Below are 16802 nucleotides of genomic sequence, written 5' to 3'. Positions count from 1 at the left end.
CCTTGACTTTCCTCTTTCCCTTTGCAATCATTCCCTTAACACTCTCATCTCATCTGTCAGCTTCAGTGATTGCATCTAGGCAGCGGATGACTCTCGAATCTATATTTACCATCTTGGTCTCTCTCCTGGGTTTCAAGATTGGATTTCTAACTCCTGTTGGAGTTAGATTATCTGAATCGTGATCTCTAAGGCATTATCTGGAGCTGAGCTCATTCATTTTCCATTGCAAAGCTTCCCCTTTTTCTGATTTCCCAGTTCTGTTAATGTTTTAGCCTCTCTGGGAACTCACCCCAAATTCCTGGTATCATTGTCTCTCTGCTGTGCCTGGGACAAGCAAGCTTTTGCCCTGTTACTTCTTATTTAAACTACAGCAATGTTCTCTCTACAGGTCTCCTTATCAATGTACCTTACATATACACAACTGTCATATTAATCCTAAATACAGCCCCTGTATAACTTGTTTGATCAGTAGACACATAAAACCTTCAACAGTTATGTAAAGAAAGAACCCCAAACAACTTATTCTTACATAATTTTCACCCTGAATCCTTACTCTATCCTTTTAGCCAGCTAAGTCATTTCATATGCCAATTTTATACTTCTTCAATTTTGTGCTTTTGTTAATATTGTTTGTGTTATTATACATTTATTAAAATAATATTCCTCTTGTCTGAAATGGCCGACACCACCCCATGCCCCACATTTCTTTAATTCTGGCTTAAAAGCCTCACGTGCTCGTCATCTCTGGAGTGATTTTAGACTCCTTTCAGCTGACACAGCTCATTTGCTATCACTCCTTTACGCAATGTATTACTTTCTGCCATTCATTAAGAGTATTTACAGGTGCATATTATATCCAGTGAAGGTAATACACACGTCTAAGTCAAAGTGCTGAAGTGCCTGGGCTTACACCTTGTATTAATAGGTGCTCAACATGTATTTACTCCTAAGAAAAATGAATCAGTATTATTTTCTCCCGTCTGGCCAGGTTATTTTCCCCTGGCTCCCCTCCACCCTCTAGCCCTGTAGCTGCACTGTGATTTTTTTCCTTTGTTACCAGTTACCAGCGTGATCTAGGCTAATTCGATGGTCAGATAAACAGCACCTCCGGACACTTATTCTTTGAAAAGATATTCAAAGCTGGCCTAATATGGGTGTTCATTTTAAGCCCCAGTCATTGACCTTAACTACCTTTTAGTATCCTATGCTGTTTTACTTGCTTACTGATAAGGTTTGGCTGTGTCCTCACCCAAATCTCATATTGAATTACCACGTGTTGTGGGAGGGGCCTGGTGGGAGGTAATTGAATCATGGGGGCAGGTCTTTCCCCTGCTCTTCTCCTGATAGTAAGTCTCACAAGATCTGGTGGTTATTATAAGGGGGAGTTTTAGTGCACAAACTCTCTTTGTGAGCTGCCATCCATGTAAGATGTGACTTGCTCCTCCTTGCCTTCTGCCATGATTGTGAGGCCTCCCCAGCCACATGGAACTGTGAGTCCAGTTAAACCTCTTTTTTTGTAAATTGCCTAGTCTCAGGTACGTCTTTATCAGCAGTGTGAAAATGGACTAATAGACTTACTCAGAGCCCAGATATGTGGAGTTTATGATTATAATACTTTCAGTACATAGTTATTTTACCTACAAAAATATGTTTTTCCCTTAAAAAGACTGTTGTTGCCGTTACACAGAGGGGAGCCAAAAATAAGTTAATGACTAAAGTGTTCCTAGACTCAATGTGGCTATTTAGCACTGATATCTTTCTTTAAGTTCTGGAGGATAAGGCCCAGTTCCTAGAATTTGGGTCTTCTCCAATGACAGTGAGGAAACTTGTCTTAGATGTTCTGTTATCAATAAAGTCTTATGAAGACAAAGATCTAATAATTAACATGTGCTCCATCAACCTGGAGTCTTCCAGAATTCTCTAAATCAATAAATTATTTTTGCTGCATTTATTTGGATATCCAAAACAGGTTTGAGAGTTTCAGAAGATGCTTAACTTCATTTTCAATGTTCCTTATTTTCACATGCAGCCAAATTCCCACATTTTAATACCTCCCCTCCTCATCTCCTAAATGAAAGCTAAACAAATTTTGGAAAATAAAGAATTCACGTTTGTGTATATTTTGGGTCAGAGCCTGAGATTATTTCGTTGCTGAACCACAAACAACTTAGGCATTTATTCACACGCTGCAGAGCACCTGCATGGCTCAGAACAATGAACAATGTTAAATTCAGTGTTTCTAACAGCAGTTCAGCCACCACACAGCAATAAAAGTATCAGCTATGATACTCAAAGTTATGTTTAATTTGCACTGTAAGAATTATGCAAGATGGATTCCTTGCTAACAAAAATGTATCTAATCTTCAGGGACACTCATCTCCCCCAAACCTTATGAACATCAGCAGCACAATGAGACAGCTTGTCCAAGGGAAATATTAGAGAAGGAGGAGTAATTGCTGTGCACTGGTGAGTCATAAAGTTGATGGAGTGAGGCGAGGAGCTCATGTAAATATCCGCCCCACCCACTGAGACCAGCCTTCCCGCCTCCTCTTCCCTTCTCATTCCTCTCCATCATCTGCACCCTAAGGCTCCACCACTGTCTGTGGGAGTCATTTCACTCTTCCTGGGGGAAAGCAGATACATAGCTGAGCTATTTTATGTTATTTTTCTCTCTTAATGAATACCATACACATGACTGTTGAATGTGCATGGTACTAGCAATGAGTAATTAAGTCTTGTGGGAAGGAAAGTTCGGGTGGAGGTAGAGTAAATAGATCTGGCACAGAAACAATGCTGTCTGGTTTCAGGAGAGCTTTCTTTTGAGTGGCAGTGTGGCGTGGTTGCCTGGAGTTAAATCTCCTCCACTCTGGTCTCAGTGTTATCATGCACCAACTAATCTTGCAGATGCAACTCCTGCTGCTCCTAGTCTCAATTGTCTTAACCTGCCAAATTGAGACAATATTTTCTGCCTGCCTCATAGGATGATAAAAAACTGGCAACTGTGATAAAAAGGTAAGGTATCACTATGCTTGATTTACCTTTAAAATGCTTCCACCTTTCTTTATTTTAACATTTCAGTTCAAAGTCTCTTTACTGAACACCTGGCCTAAATAAGCCACACAAGGAGCATCCAAATTTGAACTTGCATCATCCTAACAGATGCTTTTCTTGGAATCAAGCCATTGATAAAACTTAATTCCTTTCAACAAGCCTTTATTGAGCAACTACAATGTGCTGAGTGCCTATTCAATCATTAAAACGTGGGCCGTCTAAAGGGAGCATTTCATCTCTCTCAGTGGGAATTCCATAAAATCTGCAAAATCTTTTCAGCATTACGAGTGAACATAAAGGGAGCAATGCTGAGAGCTTCTTTTCACATCAAAAATATCAAAGAAGCATTCGGATCTGCATGTCGTTTTACACTGAGCTCAGTAACTTGGAAGCCAAAGTAATTTCACTTAGACCATAGGCAGCACCAAGGCTTCTAAAACACATCTCTTCAGGGTCCTCCGTGTTTTGTCTTCCTGGAGTAAATGATTAAATATTTGGAACTTAAATGAATGCATTGGTGAGGATGTACCTGAACTTCAGAAATGTAGCTGGTTAGGGTAGGAGAGTGGAGAAGTAACAGCAGGAATATTTTATCTTCCCGAGCTCAAAGCTTTTGTCCAAAATGATACCTTAATAACTATTGGCCAGGCCATATGCTGACATGGAGTTTATTAAGATGACTATTTAAACAATTTTAGAGAAAGTGGCGGAAAAATGAGACCATATGTATTTGGGAAGATGGCTATGTCTGTTCCAAGCATCCCTTGACTCCCTGTGGCAGGAGAGGTGTATAACTTTGGTCTTCTAAGATTAAAAAAAGTTAACGATCATTTCAGAATAAAATGTTCACTTTCATGTGGACTAAAATAATGGTTAATGATGTGAGTTTGGGAATTAGACCTCCAGTTACCATTTTCTAACTGTACAAAATGTGTGCAAATTACTTAATTTTCCTCAGTTTTCTTATCTGTGAAATGGAGGTAATAATATCAACCATCTCATAGGGTGCTTAAGTGATTGAAAGAAGATGATACAAATAAAGAAATTAAAACAATGCTTGCCATATGACAAGTGCTTAATAAATATTAGCTACCGTTGTTATTTTATGCAAATATTTTAAGAAACTAATTTTAGTATCAGATGCCTAGATATTTGGGAATCAGGTACCATTTAGCAGACTTTATATCACTCAGTTCAAATACTCTGTAATTTATAGTTCAAACCTTAGATCTATATTCAGGAAAATATATTGCCCAAGGAGCTATTACAAAGTTTTTACTTTGGATTCCTCTTATTACTCCTAAATTCTTAAATAGCAGCCCTCTTTCCCTCTCCCTTCCTTCCCTCCTTCCCTTCCCTTCCCTTCCTTTCCCTTTTCCTTTCCATTTCCCTTTCCCTTTCCCTTTTCCTTTCCCTTTCCCTTCCCTCATTTCTTCTTTTTTTCCTATGCTGGTCCTTTGATTTTAGGTTATCTGAACAGTATATTTTCACAAAAATCATTACATTTGTTTAAAGATAATTCCAATGTGTTCATCTTAATAAACTTGAAATGATTAATCATAGATGTTCATAACCACATGCAATTAACAAAAATTAATCTGGTTTTCCCTTACTGCCAAATAAAAATTTTGCTTAAAAAAAGTAAAAAGTCATATTCATTGCATCATATTTGAAAACTGGTAATCTTGTTCCAAGGTTAAAACTCCCCCCTCCACAAAATACTTTTAATGAATGCATTTGTTATGCGGCTATACAATTGTTTCCTTCCTCTGTAGATGATAGAGTCATAATTATTTCTCTGATGTTAATTAAAAATAAACCCTTTCATTTGTAAAAGAATAGTAACTATTTGAAAATCACACAAATCAATTAGTAGTTTCACATAGAAAAAATATCCAGTTATTTAAATAATTTTAACTGCCACTAAAAAGAAACAAGCACCTGGATTGGAAAAAGAAAGGCTATCATTATTTTTGAAAGCATTTTCTCATTGTCTCCTTATAAAGTTACAAGGTCATATATTATTTGTAGTAGTATATGGAATTACATATTTGATGAATTCAGAAACAGAATAGGGATTTAATATATTTTTAAAATTTCTATACAGGAAGCTTATTTTAAAAAACCTTAGGGACTTTTACATATGCAAATGTTCACTAACAAAAAAATAATCAACCTTCTAACACTTTGCATGGAAAAGGTGAGTGTGATGTGCAATATGAAACTAAAAGAAATCTCGAAAACATCTTGACCTGGTAGAGCGCAGACATGATTTACAGGCTGTGAAACACAAATTGCCACTAAACCTCCTTTCTCTTTGGGGTCTGCTGACTTAGAACAAGGATTCTAAGCCCTCTGCTTGGACTCTACCTCCTCTATGCCCTCACTCCCTGACTTCACTAGCACCACTCTCCCATTCCTTTTGCTCATGTTACTTAAAAAGATTTAGCAGTATTTAAGACAAGACTATTGGCCATCCAGATTTCAAAGGTGAGAGCTAACTTCAGCTAGGACTGGGGATTTGGAGCTATCACCCTCCCTGGAGAGCCCAAGATAATTTCACTATTTCCAAAGAAGCTTAATCAGTGTATACCCAAGGTGAATATTGGCTGGAGTACTTTGAAAATTCCAGGTCTGATAAGAAATAATTCTATGGAGATGCCTGAACTTAGGCTTTCTTTCAGTCAATATTTTCTCATAAATATGGCAGAAACAGACTTAGAAAGTTTGGACTCCCTGAAAAAAGAAAACCTAGTTTGTACCTCAGATGTTCAGAGAGAATTTGATTACAAATAAGCGAGCTAATCTTCTGGAGACAGTATCATTGACCTAACACTTTATTTCTAGAGATGGACTCTGCAGAGGGTGTTGTAAATGCTGACCTGATTCAGTCAACGAACATCTGATAACCATCTGTTTTATGCAAACAATGAGCTGAACTGTAGAGATGAAAGGACTCAGAAATATCTTGCAGGAACTTAAATAGTATAAGAAAGAAAACTACACAGGTTGCACCTCTTTGGGCCACTGGGGTAATTTACAGAAGCCAACATAGTAGATCCACTCTGAAAGTCTTTGCTGAATGAATGCATAAGTGAATGGATACAAGAAGGCATGATATAATGGTAGCATAGAAATAAAAGTCAATGGTTGTAGAAGAGAAAATTAGGATGTAATGAATTCTTTATAGGATGACAGGTCACCAGAAAATCTCTAATGGTGGCAGAAGCTTTTGAGATGAACTTTATAGTGTTTCAATACATAAAGAAGGAAGAAGCAAGAGGTGTTTAGACAAAGAGACAAATATGAGTAAAGGTACAGAAGAGGCTGGGTGTGGTGGCTCATGCCTGTAATCTCAGCACTTTGAAAGGCCAAGGCAGACGGATTACTTGAGGTCAGGAGTTCGAGACCAGCCTGGTCAACATGGCAAAACCCTATCTCAATTAAAAATACAGGAAAAAAAATAGCTGAGTGGAATACTTGTGCACACCGGTAATTCCAGCTACTCGGGAGGCTGAGACATGAAAATCACTTGAACCTGGGAGGCAAAGGTTTCAGTGAGCGGAGATCATGCCACTGCACTCCAGCCTGGGTGATAGAGCAACCAAGCAAGCAAGCAAGCAAGAAAGAGAGACAGAAGTATATTGTTTGAATTGATTAGAGCATAGAGCTGGTGGTAAGGAATAAGGCTGGAAGGAGAGATGGGATCCTGATTGTAGAAGTCCTGGGCTTAAGTGTTAATGAATTCACGAATTTGGAAATTATTAGGATGGCAATGGGAGCGAATAAATGCTATTGAGATAGAGGGCAAGGAGACTAGTGAGGGCTATTGTCATAATCCAATTTAGAAAAGATGAGGTTCTTGAAAGAAGGGAGTGAAATAAGAGATGATTCAGCAAAATAATTGGTAGGTTCTGATACTCTTATTAATAAAGGCATTTTGTGGGGGAAAGCAATTATAAGAATAGAAAGAAATAAACTTACACAAAGGTTTCTAGTCTCAGTGTCCAGTAAGATTATTTTAAAAAATCTTTTCACATCTTACTGAGTTATTTACATATATATAAATCTCATCAACCATTAGGGAACATTATAATTACTAACATTTACCTCTTTGATGATGAATCTAATATTCTGGTAGTTTTAACAATTTTCCCAAAGACATAGCTCTTAAATTTGGGGAATTACCTTTCCACCCTATATGCACAGATGAGATGAGTTCATTCTCTGGCAGATGATGTAAGTGAGATATGAAACCCAGGATGGGGAGAAAGTTGTAGCGATAACAGTTACGTGATCAGTATTTTACATACAGAGTTTAAGTTACCCAAGAAAGATTGATGGGTAGCTCTCTGGCTTATAAACTAGAAATTGAGTGCAGAAAATTATGAGAGTGACTAGGATGAATATTTGTGAATCTTCTGCTTAGAAATGTGCAAGTTGTATCACTGAGTATTGTTAGAGCCGCTCAGGAAAATAGTATGCTTAAGACAGCTCAAGAGAAAATTTGTATAGATGCCTTCAATTAAGGAACTAATAAGGAGCAGAATAAAATTAAATAAAGTACAGAATAATTACAGAAGTAGGAGAGGAAGCAACAGAGTGTAATGTCATAGAAGGTGAGAATTTCAAAGAAGGGCCATAAGCATAACGGTGGCAAATGCTACAGAAAGTCAAGTACAATCAAAACTCAAGTGGGGTTGCTGAGTTTAACAATTAGTAAGTCACTGATGAGATTTGCGAGTGTTGTTTTTATGAAGTGGTAGGGACAGAAATTGGGTTGCAGTAATTAGTAAGGAAGGAGAAGATGAAGAATTGTTAAAGGTAAATGAATACTGCTCTTTAAAAACAAAAATGAAAAAATAATAGATGAAATATGATTTTGTAATAATTATAATACAGACTTAGAATTTAAAAATCTTAAAAATTCCCATTCACTACCCATTGAATCCCACTCACTTCCCCATGGTTACTGGTTAATAATAGATTGTGAAACTTTCAGAATATTTCAATGCATTTTATGCCTATATATAAATACACACCCACATATATGTGTATACATATTTAAATGTATGCATACATACTCTGGCAAAGAGTTAACAGTGACCAAATATTTAGCGGTTTATTTATTTATTTATTTATTTTGAGATGGAGTCTCGCTCTGTCACTGAGGCTGGAGTGCAGTGGCGTGATCTCGGCTCACTGCAACCTCCACCTCCCTGGTTCAAGGCATTCTGCTGCTTCAGCCTCCCGTGTAGCTGGGACTACAGGCGTGTACCACTACGCCCGGCTAATTTTTTGTATTTTTAGTAGAGATGGGGTTTCACCATGTTAGCCAGGCTGGTCTTGATCTCCTGACCTCATGATCCACCCGCCTCAGCCTCCCAAAGTGCTGGGATTACAGGTGTGAGCCACCACATGCAGCCTATGGATATTTTGAAATCAAAAATCCAAAACCAAAAAAAATGTAAGAGAGTTACAGTTCTTTGCTCTTTCTTTTCCATTGTGATTGTTACATTTTTTTCCCCATAAAACATTTTTATACCTAGTAGCCAGCGTTTTTGAACTGGGAGGGGCCAGATTATTCAGACCCAGGGAGGAGATAGATTCTCAGGTTATAGACTTAAACCAATTAAATTAGGTCATCTTGAAAGGTAACCAAGGCTATTCTTGGGCTTAGGGCTACATAAGCCATGAGTTTGTAGGTGTACAAGAAGCTGGACTATTTTCTGAACCATTTAGTAGGATTAATAATAGCAATTGCTGCCATTTATTGAATTCTATGAGACATGCAATCAAAATTATTTATATTGTTTCATATTCAAAATAATGTGCTAAATTAAGAACTTTTATTGACACTTTGTAGTTAAGGAAACTGTAGCTTAAAGAATTCAAGCAACTCATCCAATGCCATGGAGACAAAATGCAGCAGAACTAAGATCTGAATTGCAGTTCAGGACTATCTGGCTCCAAGCCTGATATTTTCTTTTCTAAATACTGCACCATCAAAGCAGACCTATCAAGCTTGTCCTTCTGAGAAGAAGATAATGGAATCCACATGGAGAAAAACAGGATTTCCCCCCTTTTTCCCTAATATAGATGAAGCCCACATGCCCATGGGACCTGTGCATATTTGGTTTTCCTTTTCATTCAGCCACCTCCCCTCTTCTTTAGCATCTCATACCCTCAGTGAGAGCAGCTTAATGAGCTACCATGCAACCATCAAGAAATGAGATCTTGTAAAGAATTGTGGGAGGTACACAAGCTGTTTTGTTTTCTCTGTAGGAAGGAATGCACTGAGCCCTGTGAAGATTAAAAGGATAAATGAAAGATTGATAAAGGAATCCCAGGAGGTGGGGAGAGAAGACTTGTAAATAAGCAGGAACACACATGTGGTCCCAGAATGCAATTAAACATGAACAGCTCCATTGGAACTGACACGTGGACCAAGATTCTAAATAGTAGAATGCCTGGTTCATATTATCTTTCTGGATATAAATTATAGCACCTAATCAGTATCTTGATTAAATGACTCCAAATTAACATTCTGACTATTTAAACTATTTGAAGTACTGATTCCAGGTAACCATTAATAGTTTGTTGTACTATCCTCTTTCCCTCAGCCAACCAAATTCTCAAAGTAAAAAAATAAATAAATAAATAAATAAAATAAAAGCCACACAATGTGTTAATGAATTACTGTATTACCTAATACATTATGTCTGTAAAGTTTTCAGGTTGTCTAATAAAATTATATTACACTAGGAAGTTTCACATATGTTCATACACAACTAACACAATGTAGGTTGCTAGGTAGGAAACATTGACTCTTTGTAAATCCTTTAAAATGAGCTAAAACTTCAGAAGCAATTAGGTGTGGTTGACATTTGCATTTTAAGGACTTTTTGAGGGCTAGAGACATTAAGCCTCACAGGTATATCAAAATGATAGCTTTATCCCAACTTAAACCATCTTGCCCATCTGCAATAAAATCTCCATCATCCCAGGTCTAGAAAATGTGCTGAGCTTATAGACTAAACATTCAACAGTTGTATGCACTCAGCAGCTTTATGACTTCTTTTGGTGCCTTTGTGGAATCATCCTGGAATCAATTTATCTTCATGCTTCAAAGAATCCTAATTCAAAAGTGCTCCAAATGTTTGGGACTATTTTAAGATTATTTTTCTTCTGGAAGTTTAAACGTAAACTCGAACGAATGCTTTCTTTATAATTTTATACTGTTTTGCACTAACAGTTAAAGTTCACCTTATGTTCAAACGATTGCTTTCATGCCTAAATGCATTTTTACTTCTTCGATTATTCTATTATTGAAAAACTAGTCTTTTAATAACACTTACTTTCCAGCTCTTCTTTCACATCTTATGATAGGAATGGCCAAGCCAAGTCAGTTGTAGAATGAATTACGTTTTTCCTAAAATTGAGACCTGTTTTTTACTTGTTCTAAAGAGAAAAGAAATAAAAATGACAGTAAGTGGAGAATTTAGGTGTAGCAGAAATATGTTCAGGCATGGTGGTGATTTTTTAGCACTAGAACGGTTACTCTGGCTTACATTTTCAGACGAATTCAGCAAGTCAGTCTTTGTCCTTTGCGGCATTTTGCCGCTCCAGAATCTTTCTCTCTACTGATATTGACAGACTCACTGCTGTCTCTGGACTATAAGAATGTCTCCCATGATTTTTTTTCACCGAAACTAGGAGCATTTTGTCTTCCTTTCTTATTTTTCAGAAGGCATTCTCTATTACAGTGCCTAAGAGAGCTTAGCTTCCCTATGATCGGTAGAATCATTCATCTAATTGATCCAGCTTGGAAATCTTATTTAAGATTTTAAATTATTTAGGGTGAATCAGTTTGCCTAGATCACATCAGTATTTTGAAATTTCCCAAAGCCACATTTATACAGACTAAGGGATAACTGTATCCTTCTTCTTTCTCCTCTCCCTTCCTTATTTCCCCTCCTTCTCATGAAATGTTTGCTTTCAAGGAGTGAATACTAACCATGAAGCACCTTGTCTTGCAGGATGACTTGAAGTTGTTTTTCTCCTGACTAAAGTATTTTCTAAAAGCTGTTATGAGAATTATAGCTACATAAAAAGACCAGTGTTCATTTTAGATAAAAATTGAGGATTGTGAAGGAACGGTTTTTTTTCTTGGACATAGCTATCCGAAGCATGTGCAGGGGATGTCAGAGCACAGAAGGTGCTAGCAAAATACCAGTAGCGGGTCTAGAAGAGGATGTGCCTATTCATTCCTTAGAGACCTAAAGAGAGTGGCAGGCTGTCTCCAAAGCAAGGTGAACTAAATATTCAACTTATTCTACTTCTTTTTCCCAACGCCACTACAGCCTTCTGTTGCTATCTGGAGCATTGAATAGGGTCAGGGAAGTCAGTATAGGTAAGTAAGAGAGATGAGGGACAGGGAGGAGAAAGATTTATTTATGCAAATTTTTTGTTTAAATATAAAAGCACATAATATTTTTATGCATTTATGACACCTAGAATTAATTATCATTAACACTGAGAGGTGCATATATATGCATATAGAGAGATAGATACTATATATATGAATATATATACACATACATGTATGCACAGAGTTTAAAAAGAATTATATAAATGTATATTTCCATTATTAACAAACACAATTATTTGCAGACATTGCATACTTGAAGTTCTTTTAAACTTACATGTAGTAATGCATTAATATTTGTTAATTTATATATTAATATTTATAACTTATTAATATTTATGAGCACATGATTCCTAATATATCCATCATATAAATACCCTAGAATGTCTCTAATACTCTTTTATTAAAAGTAGGTTTTGATAATTTCCAATATTATAAAATCTGCAATGAGCATTGCTTTTCACAACTGTATTGTGAACTCAACACCAAATTTCATGGGATAAATTTCTAAAAGCGGAATCACTAAATAATGTCAGCTTTGTAATTCCCAAAAGTTTGTAAAATAATTTATTTCCCACAAGCATTTTAGAGTTTTCTTACCCTTCATTTCTAACAATATCTCTATAAACTGGTCTTATTTGAGATTGATAAGTCTATACATATTTTAATTTGCAATCATTTCATTTCTAGTAAGATTAAGCATTCATATTTGTACCATTTGTATTTATTTTCCATTATCTATAGCAGCATTTTCTTGCGATATATAAGAACCTTTTATACAGCAAGGTTATTAATTTTTTCCAAACGTGTGTGTTGCAAATTCTTTTCAGTTTTTATTTATCTTTTTAAATTTTTTTCATGGTATATATCTCTATAAAATGTTTTACATCCCTATTATTAAATATATCAGTATCTTATTTTAATGATTTAATCTTTAATGTTTTAAAATGCTTCCTACATAGATGATTTAGAACCTAATTTTTATCACATTTTAAACAGTTACATATAGGAATGACATAAACTATTGTTGAGAATTCACCACTATATTTCCCAAGAAAAACTGCATTCTGTCTTCTATGCTCATTTTAGTTCACTAATAATAATAGTTGTGAAAACCCAGTAGTACTTTTGCCTACCAAAAGAAAGACAACATTCTGGTTCAGGAAGAAACATAATCGTTCATGTATTTATATATGAGTTTAGATTTGTGAACATGACATGTTATACCACTTCAGTGAATCATTTAGGGAAATATTTATTCTAAGAAGCCTGGTTACTTAGAGCAGGAAGGTTTGGAGGGGGGCCTGCTGCATGGCTGTCCTAGAGACAGCCCACTATCTCTCCAGAGCTCCCCTGAACACTTTTCACCTTTGACTTGATGCTCTGTGTGTGGTGACTGAGCCAGTATCCTGCAGAAGGGCTGGAGAAGTCAATAACATGGTTAGGGATCCAGAGGTCTTTTGCAAGCAGCTGTTGCTAAAAATTCCCAGGGCAGAGAGGAGGAAGGGAGCACCCTGGAGAGCTCAATCCCACTTAGGAAAAGTGCTGCCGCCATGAGAGAGGCATTGCTCTATGTTGCAGCTCTAGACATTGTCCCTTCTTCTTCGTCCCCTTGCTTCCCCTCCCTGCCTGCTTCTCTCCTTCACCCCTCCTCTACTTCTCCCTCTCCCCTTTAATATCAAAACAAGACAGACTGTTTAGAGATTTATGAGGAATTTTGTTTCCAATTCATAATATGAGGTGAGACATTACTTCAGGACCCGTTGTCTCCCAATACAGTTGGTTAACAAGAAATTAATAGAGTGACCATATTTTCAGAGGAGAAAAAGAGGAAAATATGAGTTCAAAAAAAACCAGCTCTCACTTTGTCATTTTTTCTTAACTCTGCCACCCACTTACAACTCCTCGACATTCCCAGCCTTGACAAGCCCACCAGCCATTCGGCACCAAGAGACTTAAATAGCGTCAGAAGCTTTCTCGCTCTGTGTGCCATTCAACCTCAGGCATTCCTATCTGAAACACAAACATCAGTAAAGCAAATAGTCACCTTAAGTTTCTTTCAGCTTATGAAACATATGATCCCACACCATCAACATTAAAATGCTAAGGAAAAGGTACAATCCTTTACAAAATAATTGCCTCCTTTATCTTACAACAATGCTGCCTTCATGCAAGTCATATGGATAAACTCTATATTCCACATTTGAGCAGAGGAATGCCTGATGAATTTGGATCTAAGTCTCTTCAGAGTCAAACTAGCAGTGACAATAGCATGATTCTCCATCTGACTCCCTGCATGTCGGGTAGGATTGATTTGACTGCAACCTATTAGAATCCACAGGGCATTTTTTACTTTCCTCTCAGGGCCAAGCCAGTGCCCCAGACAGTATTGCCACAGGGGGTGTGTGGCATTTGGACACCACGTATTTTAATAGGAGGAACATTTGATTCTCACATCCAGTTTATGTTAAGGCTTACAACAACAACCATTGCCATTTTTTTTTTTTTTTTTTGAGATAGAGTCTCTGTTGCCCAGGTCTCTGTTGCCCACTCTGTTGCCCAGGCTGGAGTGCAGTGGTGCAATCTCGGCTCACTGCAGCCTTCATCTCCCAGGTTCAAGCAATTCTCCTTCCTTAGCCTCCCGAGTAACTGGGACTACAGGCGCATACCACCATGCCTGGCTTAATTTTTGTATTTTTAGTAGTGATGGGGTTTCACCATGTTGGCCAGGATGGTCTTGATCTCCTGACCTTGTGATCTGCCCGCCTCGGCCTCCCAAAGTGCTGGGATTACAGGTGTGAGCCACTGCACCTGGCCCAACCATTGCCATTTTGATGTTATTATTGTTTTTTCTTTATCAAATAAGATGTATCATTCACCCTGTCTCTGAGCCTGACCTATCTATCACTGATAGCTGCTTCTCTCAACTACAGGATGCAGCTCAGGATGGAGCTGATTTCTGGGGGAATAAGAATAAAGGAGAAGGTGACAATAAATGACCAATGAAAGGGTAGGAGTCCGGGCTACAGTGAGTATGAGGGGTGAGGGTCAGGGATGAGGTCAATTGCAGGGATGTGGCTGAAGTCATGGGTACAGTGGGAGGCTGGGAGAAAGGATCCCAGAATACTTACAGTACCAGATGAGCCACGTCACAATGTCCTGCTCTGTCATGAGTCATCGTGACTTTCATGATTTTGAATTTTTGATACAGGAAATGGCATCACTAATCTCGAGTGTCAGTTCTGTAGACCTGTACAGTTCCTTTTACTCTTTGTAGTAAATTGGATATCTCCACATGTCTTCTGAAATCTTACAAAGGACAGAGAATATAAAAATGTCCACCGTGTCTTAGTTTCCTTTGGAGTTTTAAATTTTGCGTCTGAGTTGAGCACAAATGAAGTGCTAAGTCCCACAGTCTCTGCATTCCTTTGTTGATCCCTTTCCCCAGAATTCAATTACATTTTTCCCAAATTTGATTACTACAAAAACCTAATTTATGTGATTATTTGCACTGTGTAGTGCCGTCTTTCTAAGGACCTGTAATTCCTTTGTAAATGCCCTTCCCCCACTAGGAATTGATGAAATATTATGTAAATTTACTCAGATTTGTCACAGAATGTGGCTGCCAGAGCATATAATCTTCAACTTCTATAGTGCTGAAGGGAAATACATCATTCTAAAATTACCAATGGCATTTGACTAAAGAATAAAACTCCTATTGCCTAACAGACTATTTAAACTGTTGTCTTAAAAATTATTACAGCCTGGTAAACTGAATGTCAACTTTCAGACTACAGTATAATTTATTTTTTAACACAAAATGGAAAACCTGAGAAAAAGTAGAGATGTGACAGACTGGAATACAACGTTGAAAACAAGTTCTTGCATTACTGGTTTTGACATTCTCTTTCCATTCATAACTTGCAACAAGTTTCTTAAAAGTTCTCCTGTTGAGTCAACGTAAAGTTGTTGAATATGATGAACTGACCAAAAGTGCCACATTAAGGAACACGACTAGACTGTTTGCCAACCAACATAAATGAAAGCATAAGAAACAAAAAAATAGTAGCTTTCATGTTTGTATTTTGAATTGTCTTCAGTGTAATATTAAACATGCTATTTACGTAAAAGCACGCACTTTACATAAACTCTTAACTGATCTTACACAAAAGGAAACAAAGTTATGGCACTTGAATTTTTGGCAAAGATAATATTTGCTTAGTAAACAGCAAACACATCTGTATAGACACAACTGCGTTTATGTTTACAAAGTGCTAAGGGGCCAAACACTTTGACTCCCACTTTCATGCTTCCCACATATTTTTAGTTCAATTAGTGACTTCATTTTTTTTTTTTTTTTTTTTTTTTGAGACGGAGTCTTGCTCTGTCCCCCAGGCTGGAGTGCAATGGTGCAATCTCGGCTCACTGCAACCTCTGCCTCCCGGTCTCAAGAGAGTCTCCTGCCTCAGCCTCCCAAGTAGCTGGGATTATAGGCATGTGCCACCATGCCCAGCTACTTTTTGTATTTTTAGTAGAGACAGGGTTTCACCATGTTGGCCAGGCTGGTCTTGAACTCCTGACCTCAGGTGATCCACCCGCCTTCAGCCTCCCAAAGTGCTGGGATTACAGGTGTGAGCCACCATGCCCAGCCATCAATTAGTGACTTCTTTATTCCCACCAACCTAGGGGGATCATGTGATATAAGATAATCTCAGTGGACTAACCCATAACGTAAACCTTTTGATATTTCTCAATTTTCACCAATTATAAAAGACTAAAATGATCTCAAATATAAATCTGAATCATTTTTAATGTTTATTAGTATGAGTCAACCCACGGAGGACAATGGATTAATAGTATGTAATTAATACTTCTTATAACAATAATGGCTGCTGCTGTAAATATATCTATATAAGGATTCATGCCATGTCATAATAATTAATGCTAGATGTCATTCTGTAATATTTCACCTTGTGCCCTGATTCATAGCCTGTAGAAGTGATGGAATATTTGTGATGTAGTGATTTCAATTCTCCAGCTAGGGGGAGAAGGTGAATTTAAATGTTGATGTTTTTAGTTCTTCTAGTCACAGGGCACTCAATACAGAATTATTCCCACAGTGATAAGTAAAGAAGCATATCTTGTCTTGGGAAGTAGCTATTGGAGAAATAATAATAAAGCTGCTGTCTCTTTTTAACACTAATTAATTGCAAAACAGATGCCATGCGGTATATTTGCATTTCCTACAGTACTGGCAATGAAAAGTGTTTATGAAAGAGATCCCTTTTATAGATACAGAGGCCAATAGAATGTGTGCACTTGA

General features: G+C 37.3%; 1 long non-coding RNA gene across 1 annotated transcript in view, besides 1 other annotated feature; it reads right to left on the bottom strand.

The window, feature by feature from the left end:
* Positions 1–14782, bottom strand: part of LOC107985990 (uncharacterized) — a 35076-nt gene extending 20294 nt beyond the window's left edge. The window contains exons 1-2 of the long non-coding RNA XR_001739902.1: positions 14611–14782; positions 10410–10512 (exon numbers count right to left, since the gene is read on the bottom strand). This is a non-coding gene — a long non-coding RNA (uncharacterized LOC107985990). The remainder of the gene's footprint in view (positions 1–10409; positions 10513–14610) is intronic.
* Positions 13924–15123: an enhancer, noted in NCBI's record as "MED14-independent group 3 enhancer chr2:221700003-221701202 (GRCh37/hg19 assembly coordinates)". NCBI's record gives its function as "activates an origin of replication core promoter dependent on BRD2, BRD4, P300/CBP and CDK7 cofactors, and independent of MED14, by STARR-seq in HCT116 cells {active_cell/tissue: HCT116}" and the evidence as "EXISTENCE:reporter gene assay evidence [ECO:0000049][PMID:35650434]".

Source organism: Homo sapiens, chromosome 2, assembly GCF_000001405.40.
Source record: "Homo sapiens chromosome 2, GRCh38.p14 Primary Assembly".
Classification (NCBI taxonomy): domain Eukaryota; kingdom Metazoa; phylum Chordata; class Mammalia; order Primates; family Hominidae; genus Homo; species Homo sapiens.
This window is presented reverse-complemented; position numbering and strand designations above follow the sequence as displayed.